At 35.4% G+C, this 17,418-nt stretch overlaps 2 long non-coding RNA genes across 4 annotated transcripts in view; both read left to right on the forward strand.

The window, feature by feature from the left end:
• LOC105373484 (uncharacterized) overlaps positions 1–5,657 on the forward strand; it is a 112,349-nt gene extending 106,692 nt beyond the window's left edge. The window contains exon 2 of the long non-coding RNA XR_001739294.1: positions 5,323–5,657. This is a non-coding gene — a long non-coding RNA (uncharacterized LOC105373484). The remainder of the gene's footprint in view (positions 1–5,322) is intronic.
• Positions 1–17,418, forward strand: part of LOC105373436 (uncharacterized) — a 330,895-nt gene that overhangs the window by 207,183 nt on the left and 106,294 nt on the right. The gene's annotated exons all lie outside the window — the stretch shown is intronic.

A 17,418-nucleotide genomic window follows, 5' to 3' on the forward strand; every position in this document is an offset into this window, starting at 1 on the left:
TCCCTCCATCCCAGTAAATGCCTCAGTCTCATGCAGACCACAAAAGCTAGTTACCCTAGCATTGCCTACGTGGCAACTCTGAGTACTAAGGAGATCTATATATCAAGCATAAGAGCTATAAATTTGCTTTAGAATTGAAAGCAAAAAGAGGAAATAAAAAATTGCCAAGGTTAATAATATTTTTTTTAAAAAGGGAAATGAGTTATAAGCTGTGTCTAGTTGGGGTTCATACAAGAAAATAAGCTAAAACAATTTATGTTTTTATTTAAAGACATAATCTAAGAACATGTTTCTGAAATTGCAAAATGTCTTACATGTATATAATTAAGGGTGCATTATGTGCTGGGAAAACCAACCCAGAATGATTAACAATGAGAAAATTCTGCTAAGTTATTCAATTAAAAAGACAAACAGAATCCTGCAAAAAAAAAAAAAAAAAGGTGCAACTCTCTAGAAATTAATCTAAGGCTTAATATAATTTCAATCAAAATTCTAATGACTGTTTTTTTATTCAAATTAGCAATCTAATTCCAAATTTTATGGGAATGTGCAAAGAATGAGAGTTTAGACACGCCTGAAAAGTAATCAGAAAGCCTGACAACTAATATGAAATTATAGTAATTAAGCCTATTTTAGTATACATTTAGTTTTATGTAAGTATACTAACAGAGCAGAATAAATCCAAGATAGTACCCACCCATATATGGAAGCTTGATTTATAATAGGGATAAATAGAAAAAATGTTAGGCTTTTAAGTAAATGGTACTAACAGACAGTAACTGGTGCACCTTGAATAAGTAATTGATTGTAGGGTTAGAGAAGAGTAGATCCAAGATAACCTGGAATATTCTGTCAAGCCAGAAGATCAGATGGGAGCATGAAATGAATATGCAGGAACCAGATTGAGGAGATTCCAAGGCTCTCATGGGCCAAATCTGGGAGGATTTGAACAACAAAAATAATCAAGTCCAGTAATAAATTATAATAATTAATGTTGAAATATAATAATTAATGTAGAAATATAATAAATGTAGAAATTTGTGATTATTCAATAATGAATATATAAAAATAGATCATAAAAATGATACACACACACATACATACATATAGGAAAATGGAGGCTCTTGACTGCAGTAGAATACTGAAAGCTAACTACTAAATATGAAATGAGTCCTGGAGATGGAAAATTATCATATTGCTGTCATTATGGTAAAGCTGAGATCAGGCAAAAATCATCAGTGGATACCCTGTATAGGGAGAAATATTTATGAGGTCACAATATCTGCATGATGCTAACGTGTTCTCCCATTGACTCTTTACATTAGTTTTGAGAAACAGTTTAACAACAGCATTTAAAAAATATATGAATTGGCAGTGCAGAATGGGAGCAACACCTTTACCGATGCTTAACGTTACTATCATCAGTGACATCATGTGCCTGCTGATATGAAACCTTGAGACATACCACAGATGCATAAACTCATCCTAGTCAGGAGAAAATGTCAAAAACAAAATGAGGATTGTTTTCTTTAAAAAGGAGATGGACTTCAACTTCTTTGGGTATGACCATATTGCCAAAGACCAAGAATGGCTTTGAAAGTGTCAAGCTAAAGAGACATGACAGCTCTATAGTATCTGATCCAGAGGTTGGATTCTGTTACTAGAGTGGGAAAGTGCTATGTACAACATAATTAGGGGTCACCTGGGAAAAGTCGAATATGAGGAATAGACTAGATAAAAGTATAAATTCAATGTAAATTTGTAGATTCGATAACTACTGTGGTTATGTAAAATAATACCCTTATTATTAGGAAATATATATAGAATTATTTAGTGGTAAACAGTCATGAGGAATGTAATTGACGAACAGACATATCTATGTATATGTGTGCATGTATATATACACACATAATTTAGATATATGAATAATAGGGAAATGTAGGTAAATAATGTATTTGCTTTGTATTATTTTTATTTTCAGCAATACTCTTTAAATTTGAAATGATTTCCAAGTTAACATTTATTTTAAAAGTTGATAAATGATGCTAGAAAATATTCCAAATTTATTCAGGAAAAAAAGCTTTAGACTTTGGCACATAATAAACACAAATTGCATGTGTATTAAAGACTTAATGTGAAATAAAACATCATAAAATTTATATGACAATATGAATATTGCAGGATATTCATTGGTATCGCTGTAAATATTCCCTGCTAGGATTATAAGCTAGAAAACTCTTACATGTCCACCAAAAACATACACAAAAATGTTTAAATATTTATAGCTGCTCTATGGTAGTCCTATAAATAAAACAAAACTGGAAACAACTCAAACTCTGTCACCAATTAAACACATAATTTGTGGAATATATGCTCTATGGAATAGTATAAGGCATGTAAAATGCTTGTTTTTAAGCTGCAGGCATATATTGTTGTATTGTTCTTGGCTGTATTGTGCTTCACAGATCTTGCATTTTGTACAGACTGAAGGTTTGTGGCAATCCCACTTTAAAAAATTCTACCAGCACCTCTTTCCAACAGCATGTGGTCACTTCATATCTATGTACCACATTTTGGTAATTTTCTCAATATTTCAAACTTTTTCATTGTTGTTATTACATCTGTGATGATGATTTGTGATCAGTGATTTTTAATGTTACATTGTAATTGTTTTGGGGTATCAAGAACCATGCCCATATAAGAAGGTGAATGATCATCCCCCATTTCACTCCTTTCCTCAAGCCTCTCTATTTCCTCGAAACAAAAAATATTAAAAAGAGGACAACCAACCACCCTGCAATGGCCTCTAAGTATACAGATGAAAGACTCATATGTCTCTGGTGTTAAATCAAAAGCCAGAAATCATAAGCGAGAAAGGAACATCAAAAGCTGAGATAGGCTATAACTAGGCCTCTTGCATCAAACAGGCAAGTTGTGAATGCAAACGAAAAGCTCTAGAAGGAAATTAAAAGTGCCATTCCAGTGAATGCACAAATAATAAGAAAGCAAAACACTCTTATATTGCTGATATGTAGAAAGTTTTAGTGGCCTGGATAGAAGATCAAAGCAGCCACAACATTTCTTTAAGCCAAAAGCCTAATCAGAGCAAGGTCTTAACTCTCTTCAGTTCTATGAAGGCTGAGAGAGATGAGGCAACTGTAGATGAAAAGTTGGAGTTTAGCAAGGTTGGTTTGTGATGCTTAAGGAAAGAATCCTTCACTCTAACGCAAAAGCACAAGGTGAAGCAGCAAGTGCTGATGTAGAAGCTGCAGCCCGTTATCTAGATCTACCTAAAAGGTAATTGATGAAGTTGGATGAACTACACAATAGATTTTCTGTATAGATGAAACAGCCTTATATTGGAAGAAGATTTCATCTAGAACTTTCATAGCTGTAGAGGAGAAGTCAATGCCTGGCTTCATAGGAAAGGCTGACTCCTTGTTAGGAATGAATGCAGCTGGTAACTTTAAGTTGAAGCCAATGCTCATTTATAATTCTGAAAATCCTACATCTGCTCTACCTGTGCTTTACAAATTTAATAACAAAGCCTGGGTGACAGCACATCTGTTTATAGCATGGTTTACTGAATATTTTAAGCCCACTGTTGTGATGTACTGCTCAGAAAAAATGATTCCTTCCAAAATATCACCGCTCATTGACATTACACCTGGTCATCCAAGAGTCTTGATGGAGATGCAAGTTTAACGTTGTTTCCATGCCCGCTAACACAGTGTCCATTCTGCACCACGGATCAAGGAGTCATTTCAACTTTTAAGTAATATTATTTAAGAAATACTTTTTATTAGGCTATAGATTTCATAGATAGTGATTTCTCTGATGGATCTGGGAAAAGGAAATTGAAAACCTTCTGGAAAGGTTTCACCATTCCAAGTGCCTTTAAAACATTCATGATTCGTGGGAAGAGGTCAAAATATCAATAACAAGAGTTTAGAAGAAGTTGATTCCAGTCCTTATGGACGTCTTTGAGGAGTCCAAGGCAACAGTATAGAAGATCTCTGCAGATGTGAAAACAGCAAAAGAGCTAGACTCTGAAGTGGAACCAGAAGATTTGACTGAATTGCTGCAATGTCATGATAAAACTTGAATGGATGAAGAGCTACTTCTTAAGGATGAGCAAAGAAAGTGGTTTCTTGAAATGGAATCTATTCCTAAGACACTGTGAACATTCTTGAAATGACAATAAAGGATTTAGATTATATCAGCTTTGTTTGGCAAAACAGTGGTAGGTTTTGAGACAAGAGACCTCAATTTTGAAAGAAGTTCTATCAAGTAAAATGCTATCAAACAGCATCACATGCTGTAGATAAATCTTTCAGGAAAGGGAGAGTCAATTGATGTGGTAAGCTTCTTTCCTGTCTTATTTTAAGAAATGGCACAGCCACTCCAACCTTCATCAACTACCATCCTGATCAGTTAGCAGCCATCAGCATCAAGACAAGACCCTCCACATGCAAAAAAATTAAGACTACCTGAAGGCTCAGATGATCATTTGCATTTTTCAGCAATAAAGTATTTTTAAATTAAGATATGTGCATTGCTTTTATGACATAATGCTGTTGCCTGCTTATAGACTACAGTATCTTGTAAATATAACTTTTATATGCACTGAGAAACCAGAAAATGTATGTGAATCACCTTATTTTGGCATTTGTTTTATTGCAGTGGTCTAGAATATCTTCAAGGTGTCCTTGTACCTGCAACAATAAGGATGGATCTTAGAAACATGGGTTAAGGAAGACAACAAGAAAATTGCAGAAGAATTCATTCAGTATTATTTTTATTATATAAAACCCAGATCTGCACACACACGTGCATGCATATGCATTCATTGTGGGATAGCATGAAAACACACATGGTAAAACTATAGAGAAAAATATAAAATACAGGGAGGTGGAGAAGTGTGAAAGAAAGGGAAGGAGGTTGAGACATTCAAAGAGAAGCACAGAGGGGTTTCAGAGGTAATGATGAAATATTTCTAATTATACAATGGATAGTTGGAATTCAAATATGATGTTATCATTAAGTCTTTATCCTAAGGCAGATTGTATTTTCCATACCTGGACAAACCAACAGCAGCCCATACTACATTCTAATTACAATGTGGTGTTGAAACACTTCAGTAGAAAGGTAGTGTCTATGTTTCCTCTCTTTTATTCTGAGTGGAGCTTTGAATTTGCCTCCACCAATAGAGTTCCACTGCATACCATGATTTGACCACTGAGGCTAGGTCATAGTAGGTGATCTAACTCTTTCTCTCTTCCTCACCTCTCTCTCTCCCTTCCCCTATCTCTCTTTATCAAGGAATGTGCCTTTGAAGCCCTAAGCTGCCATATATATGGCTACTGTGAACACGCTGGCTACTGTGCTACAAAGATCACACGGAGAGAACAGATACAGAGAAACAGAGAGAGATTCCTGGGGAACCCTAGCTGCTTCAGTTCCTAGCTTTTGAGGCATCCCAAACCAGAGGCCAGATGCGTGAATGAATGAGCTCTTGGATGATGGCAGCTGCAACCTTTTAGTCTTCTAGCTGAGGCCCCACACACTGTAAAACAGAGAGAAAAAAAAACCCAGTGTCTTGTCTGAATTTCTGAAACACGAAATTTATGAGCATAATAAATGGTTGTTTTACACCACTGAGTTTTGAGATAATTTGTGCACGCATCCATAGTAACTGGTACATTGCCTTACCCTTTTGAAAATAGATTCCTTTGTATCAACTTCACTTCTGATAAAACAATTTTAAAAAGGCAATGGAACAAAGTGTACAGAATTTTGAGAACAAAAACATCCCACACACTGTATTCTCAGCAAATGTATTTTTTAGATGTAAAATCAAAATGAAACAAAGAATTTTAGGTAGGAAGGGGCTCTTTGAGACTTTATCAACTCATTGATTAAAGGTACAACATATGATTATTTCAGTACTTTGCTCAGGTAACTTGAAATATATTGTATGTAAATTAATTTGCAAATTATTAGGACATTTAAGAAATTATTTTATTGGTTGAGACAGAAAATCACTTAAGAAAACAAAATCTTTTGTATTAGTCTGTTTTCATGCTGCTGATAAAGACATACCCAAGACTGGGCAATTTACAAAAGAAAGAGACTTATCTGACTTACAGCTCCACCTGGCTGGGGAGGCCTCACAATCATGATGGAAGGCTAGGAGAAGCAAGTCACATCTTACATGGATGGCATCAAGCAAAGAGAGAGCTTGTGCAGAGAAACTCCAGCTGTTAAAATCATCAGATCATGAGACCAATTCACTATCCCGAGAACAGCACAGGAAAGACTCACCCCCATGGATCAATTACCTCCCACTACGTTCCTCCCACAACATGTGGGAATTGTGGGAGTTACAATTCAAGATGAGATTTGGTGGCAAGACAGCCAAACCATATCATTCCCCCAGCCCCTCCCAAATCTCATGTTCTCACATTTCAAAACCAATCATGTCTTTCCAACAGTCCCCCAGAGTCTCAACTCATTTCAGCATTAACTTAAAAATCCACAGTCCAAAGTGTCATCTGAGACAAGTCCCTTCCACCTATGAACCTGTGAAATCAAAAGCTAGTTACTTCCTAGATACAACAAGGGGTACAGGCATTTGGGTAAATACAGCTATTCCACATGGGAGAAATTGGACAAAACAAATGGGCTACAGGCCTCATACAGTCTGAAATCCAGTGGGGCAGTCAAATCTTGAAGTTCAAAATGATTTCCTTTGACTCCATGTCTCACATCCAGGTCACATTGATGCAAGAGGTGGATTCCTATCGTCTTGGGAAGCTCCTCCCATGTGGCTTTGAAGGATATAGATCCCCCCCCAGCTGCTTTCACAGGCTGTCATTGTTGGCAGCTTCTCCAGGTGCATGGTACAAGCTGTTGGTGGATCTAGCATTCTGGGGTCTGGAGGACTATGGCCCTCTTCTCACAGCTCCACCAGGTGGTGCCCCAGTATGGACACTGTGTGGGGGCTCCAACCCCACATTTCCCTTCCACAGTGCCCTAGCAGAGGTTCTCCATAAAAGTGCCTCCCCTGCAGCAAACTTCTGCTTGGACATCCAGGCATTTCTATACATCTTCTGAAATCTAGGTGGAGGTTCCCAAACCCCAATTCTTGACGTCTGTGTACTGGCAGGCTCAACCCTATATGGAAGCTGCCAAGGCTTGAGGCTTGCACCCTCTGAAGCCACAGCCCAAACTCTATATTGGTCCCTTTCAACATGGCTGGAGCAGCTGGGATGCAGGGAATCAAGTTCCTAGGTTGCACACAGCACTGTGACCCTGGGTCTGGTCCAGGAAACCACTTTTTCCTCCTAGGCCTCCAGGCCTGTGTTGGGAGGTGCTGCCATGAAGACCTCTGACATGCTTTGAAGATATTTTCCACATTATCTTGGGGATTAACATTTGGCTCCTCATTACTTATGCAAATTTCTGCAGCAGGCTTGAATTTCTCCTCAGTAAATGGCTTTTTCTTTTCTATTGCATTGTAAGGCTGCAAGTTTCCCTAATGTTTATACTCTGCTTTGCATATAAAACTGAATGCCTTTAACAGTGCCCAAGTTACCTCTTGAATGCTTTGCTGCTTAGAAATTTCTTCCACTAGATACTCTAAATCACCTCTCTCAAGTTTAAACTTTCACAAATCTCTAGGGCAGGGGCAAAATGCTGCCAGTCTCTTTGCTAAAACATAGGAAGAGTCACCTTTGCTCCAGTTCCCAACAAGTTCCTCATCTCCATCTGAGACCACCTCAGCCTGGATTTCATTGTCCATATCATTATCAGCATTTTGGTCAAAGCCATTCAACAAGTCTCTAGGGAGTTTCAAAATTTCTCACATTATCCCGTGTTTTTTTTGAGCCCTCCAAACTGTTCCAAGCTCGGCCTGTTACCCAGTTCCAAAGTTACTTCCACATTTTCATATATCTTTTCAGTAGTGCCTTATTCTACTGGTACCAATTTACTGTATTAGTCTGTTTTCATGCTGATGGCAAAGACGTACCTGAGACTGGGCAGTTTACAAAAGAAAGAGGTTTATTGGACTTACAGCTCCCACATGGCTGAGGAGGCCTCATAATCATGGCAGAAGGCAAGGAGGAGCAGCAAGTCACATCTTACATGGATGGAATCAGGCAAAGAGAGAGCTTGTGCAGAGAAAGTCCTGCTTTTAAAATCATCAGATCTTGTGAGACTCATTCACTATCATGAGAACAGCACAGGAAAGCCTGGTCTTCATGAATCAATGAACTCCCACCAGGTTCCTCCCATAACACACGGGAAGTGTGGGAGTTACAATTCAAGATGAGATTTGGATGGTGACACAGCCAAACCATGTCATCTGTCTTTCCTACTTCCTTCAACAAAATCCAGTTTTATTTTATGCCATTTCAAGCATAAACTATTCATGTTCAGGCAGTCTTAAAACTACCATCATCTTACAATTTATGCTTCTATCTCAATATTCTTGGCTCATGAGATTCTTGGCTAATGTAAATAACCTAATATCTTCCTGTTCCTTAATGATGTTCTATTAATTCTTTAATAAATAACTCAAAATATTTTATTATATTTGATGAAGATTTTCTTAATAATTTTAAAAAATAATAATGCTGCTTTTTAAAGAAACAACTGCTTGAACATCACAATTATACTAGTATGTGTGGTCATATCCTCTAATTGTCAGACAAAATACAGATTGATGCATTTATTATATATAATATTTATTATAATATTCTGTGTTTATTTACAGTATATCTTCAAACAAAAAAATTCCAAAGATGTGAAAAATTATGATACTATAATGTGTAACATCAAAGGCAGACATAAAATTTAATGTACAATAGAATATCATCCATGTAGAAAACTACACTATAAAGACTAGAGGAAAATACATTAAATGGTTGAACATGACAATCCGTGAGTATTGGGATTATAGTGATTAGTCATTCCCATCTTTAAAATTTTCTTGTCTTCTCTTTATCTTTTGCTATGTTCATGTATTATAAAAGTATTTTATTAATATATTTACTGTTATTTCTCCAAGACTGAAAAAAATCTTCTTTTCTTATTTATTTATTTATTTATTTTTGAGATGTACTGTCATGCTTGTCATCCAGGCTGAGTGCAATGGCGCGATCTCGGCTCACCACAACCTCTGCCTCCTGGATTCAAGCGATTCTCCTGCTTCAGCCTCCCGAGTAGCTGGGATTACAGGCATCCACCACCACGCTTGGCTAATTTTTTGTATATTTAATAGAGATGGGGTTTCACTATATTGGCCAAGCTGGTCTTGAACACCTGACCTCAGATTATCCACTTGCCTTGGCCTCCCAAAGTGCTGGGATTACAGGCATGAGCCATGCATCTGGCCTTTTTCTTTTTAATTAGAAAATTAATTTCAGGCTAGAGCAGGATAATTAATGGCATATTTATACTTTTTCCTGCATAAGTTCAGGATTTATTTATATTCTGAGAGTTTTTCCCATAAAATGATATTCTACAGTATACCAGTTTTGTTATCTATATTTTTAAGTGCATGCTTTCTCTACTGATTTAGCTTCTAATTCCTTAATGAAGTTAAATGAATATCAGTATTGATTAGGTTAGTCTAATAATAATAAAATATTGAGCATTCTTTACAGGCTAGTAGCACAGAGTATTTGACACTTTGTGTGCACATTTACATTATATTTCAAAAAATTCTTATGGCTCAGAAACTATTTTCATCACCATTTTAGAGATGAGGAACCTGACATTAAAAGTGTTAAGTACCTCACCAATGATCACTCATTAGTAAGTGGAAGAGCAGGATTCAAAGACAAGCTGGTGTGAATCTGGAAATAAAAATCTACAACACTCTGCCATATCCTATCCTTTGTATGCTTTGTATCTCCTCACTGTGCCTAGCATATCATCCTGTGCATAGTAGACACTTAATTAGTAATTGTGGGATGATTGATGGCATCATGTCTAACAATTAAAAAGAAACAAAAACGATTAACAAGTTTTGACTAATGTTCATAAGTGCATTTTATGTAATTTAATAGTGTATGAAATATTCTGGAATTTATCTTATTCAATAGAGAAAATGATACCCCTCTTAAATGCAGCAGCCCCTCTTGCATACTTCAATAGAAAGACTGCTTTTAATTTTACGAGTCAGGGCACCACTAAATATGTCTTTAAATTTTTCATTTTAAGTCCATTTTCCTTTTCTGCTCCAACAACATACTCTCTGAAAAGTGTAATTAAATCCCTATTTTCTAGAATAGCAGCAACAACAACAGCAAAAGACAAGTTGACATGGCAGGTCATCAACAAAAGAGAAACTGAATAACACTGTAGGTACCAGACATACCACATTATTCAAATCTAAATTACTTGCAAATGGCAGCTTTCCCTGTTATGAGTAATGAGAGGAGTAACATTCTCATTTATTCCAATAGGCAATGCTTTTCTGAGTGAATATGTGTGAACTGATGTAACTTCAAGTTTTTCTGTGGGTTTTCTCTATTGAACCATCTATTTCTTTTTGAGGAAGAATTCAGTCATTTCACTTATATCTAGAAAATAAATTTAAATATTTCTACCTTAAATAAAACTTATTTTCACTACATTATGATTAATTTATTAATTTAATTCTTACATGTTACTAGCGTATCAGGTAGAGTTGCAGAAAGTCCTGTGTAAGTACCTTATTCATAGATGACACGATTTACATGTACAGTCATGCACCATGTAACATTTTGGTCAACAAGGGACCACGTGCAAGATGATGGTCTCATAAATTTATAATGGACCTGAAAAATTCCTATTGCCTAGTGACATTGTGATGCTTAATACTGAGTGTCAGCTTGATTGGATTGAAGGATACAAAGTATTGATCCGGGGTGTGTCTGTGAGGGTGTGGCCAAAGAAGATTAACATTTCAGTCAGTGGGCTGGGAAAGGCAGATCCACCCTTAATCTGGATAGGCACAATCTAATCAGCTGCCAACAGGGTTAGAATACAAGCAGGCAGAAAAACGTGAAAAGAGAGCAACCATCAGTCCTGCAACTTATGGCAAGTGCCCTATACAAGTATATCTTTTAAATCATTTATACTGTATTTTTACTGTACCTTTTCTATGTTTAGATATATTTAGGTATTACAAATACTTATTATAGGGTTACAGTTTCCTACAGTATTCAGCATAGTCACCTGCTATACAGGTTTGTAGACTAGGAGCAATAGGTTCTACCATATAGCACAGGTGCGTAGTAGGCTATACCACCTACATTTGTGCAACTGATGTTCACACAACAACAAAATTGCCTAATAATGCATTTCCCAGAATATATCCTTGTCGTTAAGGGATGCATGACTATATTTGTAATATGAAAGGGGTCCTGAAAGTTGTAGTGAGAAAGTAGGAATGAATGAATGAATTTGATGGAACAGTAGCAAGCAATGTATGTGCAGAGCAGGCTTATGTGTGATAAGGAGGTTGGGGTAACATACATTAATGTTAGAAACACACTCATATATCTGTTAGGCCACAGCACACACGTGCTGCGTCATGGATAAGGGAAGCACCACACACAAGCTGTATTCTGCTGAGCCTCAGTTGACTCTATGGTAGTCTATGTACTGCAGCAACCAATTTTGTGGCTAATCTGATTTTCCATGGAGAAAATCTTCCTTGGCTGTTTCATATTGAAAAGGTTACATAAAGATTAAGCATGTGTTTTATTTTCAAGCATTCATTTTCTTTGAATTTCTAGACATTGTGTGTTGCAGCATTACCCACTCTAAAATTCAATATAAAAATGCTATTCAATTCAATAGCTTTACAATTGGGGTTAATTTTTTTGTATTACTATCCAATTTTTGAAAGTTATTCATATGAAGAAGCAATAAGAACATACTTTAAAAGTAATAAGCAAGTTGAATAAAGATGTCATATTTCTATCTAGAATGATTTTTGAATGACATATTGACTATTTAAAATTCATAATCCATGACTTCGGTTTCTGATCTAAAGATGGAAAAATGATACTCCTTTCATTTTTTCTATGGGATTTCACTCTCATATTGCAGAGGTTTAACTTGAATGTATATTTTGGGTGTCAAATGATCTCATCTGAAATGGTACAGGCATAACAATATATCTATAAAGCAGAGAATGGGGTTAAAGCTAGAGAAATTTTACTGCTAGTAACTATAGCGAGTTGCTCTTTCTTAATATATCAGTTGACATTTTGTGTGCAGAATTCATGCATTTCTAATAGTCCCCATAAAATGTCAGCATGTTCGGGAACGGTAAGCCGCTAGAGAAGTCTTCAGCAGCATATCCAGTGGCCCAGTGTTGCCCTCCTGCTAAGTCATTGCCCCAGTGACGTGTCACAGACAACTTTTCTGAAGAAGTGCAGTTGAACTCTAAATGCCAGCCACAATTCTATTCTCCACTTTCCCCTCTCCAAAAGTGAACTTGAAGGTCTGCTTTTTTTCTTTTTCAAAAACTTTGTACCATAGTGACAAAGTGAAAAGAAAGTTAAAATCTGCATTATATTATTTGATTTGAATGAGACTTTAAAAATTGCAATTGAATAAATCCATTTCATTATTAATCAAAACAACTCATTTGCCTGTAAAATCTTTTTCCTCCTTTCCCTCATGCACCAATCCTTTACACACACACACACACACACACACACACAGACACACTCATGCACCCACACACGGCTGATATATACAAAGGATTTTTTGAAGGGAAGAAAAGTTGAAACCACATAAAACTATAAAATTTGTTTTCAGCAACATTAATAATTCATTTTTGTTTGAAACCTAACTTCTGTGTAGTTAAAACTTACCTTCTCTAAGAAACTATTTTGATTCCCCTGTCTAGCCCCAGTCATTCTGATCTTTGAGTGGCAGCAAAGAATATTGCTTAGGCCTGGAGACAGAAGAGCCAGCCTGCCTGAATTGAATCCCAGTTCTATTCTTACAAGCCGTGAGACTGCATCATGTCCTTTCACCACTTACTTGAAACATGTGAATGATAATGTTAGCATAGAATTAATAATTTGGTTGCGAAGATTAAATACATTTATCAATGTAAAGCACATTAAATAGTTTCTGGCCCAAAATTAGACAACATAAGTCTGTGATTATTAATGTCACCTGTGCTTTCTTCCTGTCTTTTCAGAATATTATCTGCACTTGTAATTTTGCACTTCTCAGAGGCTCAGTTGGCATATATTTAGTTACAGATATTTGGAGGAGAAAGACAACATTTTCTTGAATTTTATGTCTTTCATAGTACTTGACATTGATTCAAGCACAGTAAGTCCTAGATTGAGAAAAAAATGCCTTAAACAGCACACAATTTAATAACATTCAGCTGCCAAATTAGGTACTTCTTCCATCTTAGCTGATGTGTATGTGTGTTACAGTTTATGTAAATATTTTTTTAAAAAAAGAAACCAAAAGCAGAAGAGAGAGAAAGAGAGAGCAAAATCTAACAGATTAAAAATGGTGAAAAGATTTTTAGCAATCTAGCAACTGAGAAGTAAATTTAGCCTACCCTCCTAGGCATTCACTATAAAACAGATTCATACTGACTTCTATATCCATGTCACTTAAAACAAATTGAAGTATTCATTCTTTGCAGAAATAAGAAGTTATTTCTTTTCTGATCCTATATTCTCAAGTAAAATTTATTCTATAATATAAAGACAAAAGCCGACACTGGTGAGCAAACCACAAGTCATTTGACTCGGGTTTTACAAAATACTGTGAACCATTTATAATGTGTTTACATATTAGATTTCAATTAAAAGCCAATGAATAATATGGGATGTCACCTAGTGAATAATTTTCTATGAACTTTTAAGTATATATGTTTGTATATTTTTGCTTTTTGCTGTCTAACTTGGTTTAGGTTTAGAACTTTGATAACAGAGAACAAAGAAAAGAGCTATAAATTGCCCTAACTCAGTATCAATCTTAAGTATGAATTTGGCAAGGTCTGAATAAGGGTTAATGCAAGAATCAGTTCTCTGGCAAGGACTTCTGATGAGCAATCCCATGGTGTTGATTGAAGGGGCTCCATAGGCTTCTGAGATGATAGCAGGGTGCACGTTCTGTTAGGGAATGGACAGCAACTGTATTGATGTCAGGTAGACACCACTGAATAGTCTCTGAGTGTTTTTCCCAAAAATAATGTAAATCCATGCAAATACCTAGTAGCATGCTACAGGAGGAAGAAAAGAAAACTAAAGTAACAACTACACCACCAGCACCAACACGAACTTTGGAGTGAGAAAACCAGCGTTTTCAACATAGCCCTGCACCAAAAATGCTTGAAGAAGTTATTTAATGCCACATTCTTTGTCCCAACCCAGGCTCAGCCTTTTTGATATGAATAAAAGAATTTTGGGAAGATTAAATGAAATAGCAAAGTTTAAGCCCTAATCCCTGATTCAATTTCTGACATGATAGATCCTAGGAATAATTAGTCATTTTCTCTTGGACCAAACTTCCTATGTATTTACTTTTTAAGTATTCAATATTGCTTCCTGGAAAGACAACTCTATATAGAGTACCATTCAGGATACCCTGATAATGATCTCTGTCCTTCTCTCTATATTGTGTTTGTATACGTTTGCATGTGTGTACGTGCATTCATTGTTTATGCAAATGTCAGACGTTTGCAATACTGGGAACTGGAGGAGGTAAAGCTCAGTTGAACGGAAGTAAAGATTTGATTTGCAGGCCAGCATGTTTTATGCAACTATTTAAACTAAACTACCTATATTCCTGTGCCACTTAGTTTGGAAAAAGAGAAGATATCAGGGGCAGAGAGAACCTCAAATTGCAGTCATGAGCAATATAATCGAATTTTATGTAAAAGCAGAATATCTTCATACTCTTCAAGATTCATAAACAGAGTATTTCATCAAGATTGACCCCACAGCTGTAACTGAAGCTAACACAGTGATTGGTTGGAAATCAACATAAGCTAGAAGAAAAGAGGAGCATGGCACTAGTTGTCTTCCCTAAAACATTCTCTCACGAAGTAATCAAATGTTTTATTTGTATATTGGAATGTATTTGACTGGAGATGTTAGCCTCTTGGCTATAGAAAGAAATGGACATCTGCATTTGGTAGCAGACCAAAGACTGCTCTTCCATTTTCAAGGTGTGTATGTTGATTCAGTGGCTTACTTACTGAAAGCTAGTTAATGTCCCAGGAGTCCATGAGGCTCTGTTTTGTTCAGCCTATCTAGTGGTTCCTAGCGTTGGCTGAACTGGGGAATGAGCCCTTGCCCTTTAAGGAACTTGCACTCGTAGGAATGAGAAGGTGACACCATATCCATCCACAAACGGGATAAAAAGGCGAGATCTCTGGAGCACATTTGGTTCTGTGACCATCATAGAAATTATTCTTGTTCCGCTGTTTTGCTGTTTTTTTTTTTTTTTTTTTTTTTCAATATATACAGGACTTGGGATATGGGATTTTGAAAAAACCTAAAAATGGCCGGAGGTACTTTAAGGGCTGGAATATCACATGCCTGTTTGTAACACTGAGCAGAATATTGTTCTGAAGCACATTCGGTCAGTTTTCCAAGGGTACTAGTTTATTTGAGTCAGTATAAATTTTGGCCTGTTTTTAAGTGTCTTGATCCTGAAATTCAACAATTCCTGAAATTCACTGTTTCAGTTTAAACACAGCCTTGATTAGCCTGGGGCTGTTAGTTAATACTATATTGAGGTGGAAGGGAAAAAATACCCAACAGATTTATTTACTTAAACAGGAGATTACAACTTTCAGCATCTAGAGTCCACACATTCTGTTGAGAGCAATTTCTTCCCAGAGCAAATGCTTGAGAATAGAATTTCTCAAGAAGATAATTTTTTTAGAAGCAAGGAATTAGAAAAGGGAAGGAATCATGTTAAATTTTCCTTAGCATCTTCCAGTGCATAATACATTAAAAAAAAATTGGGCAATCCTTACGTGGCCTCAGTAAAGGTCTATATTGTGACACTTGACCAGAAAATAAACACACACACAGATACAAACACACACACACACACACACACACACACACACACACACGTATTTATATATTTTAATGGAAGTAATTACGGGGAGGTTGTTTACTTGTGCTACAGTGGATAGAGCCTGGAGTTATTTGCCAGAAACCTGGGTTTTAATCTCAGCTCTGTCAATTATTAGCTGTATGACTCCAAGACTTTACTTAATCTGTCTGAGCCTCAGTTTTTACAGTATAAATATGAGATTTTCCATCACAAAGTTTTTCTGGGACAATATTCTCATGCATGTAAAAGTCCTCTGTGAATTGTGATAAATTTTACTAATTCACAATATCATCATCAATCATTTTGTAACAGATTATCTGTGATTGATAGAAACACATTTTTTAAAAATGTAATTTTAAGGCATACGGAAATCTTTCTTTACTTCCAAAATAAACAACTTGCAATTAACGGTACTTACAATTTTTATGACCCATGCCTATAAAGAAAATTCTGTTTTCCTAACTCAAATTCCATCAGTAGAAATGCTTAGTATGAAATTTGGTGCTTAAATATTCAGTGAATATTTTTCAAAAGCTACATAAATTGTCTTCTAAAATATAAATACATGTGAGGGGAGAAAATCAAAGACTCGAAAGGATTGCTGTCTTTGTGTCCTCTAACAATAAGCTTCTATCAAGAAGGATAATGAGTTTTTATATTTGCATAGCACCTGTTTAAGCCGACTCAAGCTGGGAAGGTAATGCACTTTGCGTCAATGGCCTCAGCCTGGAAGTACAGAGAACAATTTTGGGAACAATTTGAAAAATTTGCCTTTAATGTAGCTGAACCAGCTTCATATTTTGTTTCTGTGAATATGCTATTTTTAATATTTATTGTGGATGCTTACAGTACACAGAGCACACATCAAAAGTTTAAGTTTGGTTTTTGTTTTCTATTGAGACTATGGAGGTTAACAGATGCATTCATTTTCTATTCTTATAGGAGAAATTGTCACAATTATTCCTGGAATATGTTTAGAATGTTACCAATGGTGAAGTGTTTTATTTAAAGCAACATATATATATTTATTATAAATATATATATTTATATTTATAATAAATATATATTTATATTATATATATTTATAATAAATATATATTTATAATAAATATATATAAAATAAATATATATAATATATATAAATATATATATCATTATAATATATATTTATATATTATAATAAATATATATTATAATAATATATATATTTGTAATAATATATATTATAATAATATATATTATAATATATATTTATAATAATATATATTATAATAAATATATATTTATAATAATATATATTTATAT

This window comes from Homo sapiens, chromosome 2, assembly GCF_000001405.40.
Source record: "Homo sapiens chromosome 2, GRCh38.p14 Primary Assembly".
Lineage (NCBI taxonomy): Eukaryota > Metazoa > Chordata > Mammalia > Primates > Hominidae > Homo > Homo sapiens.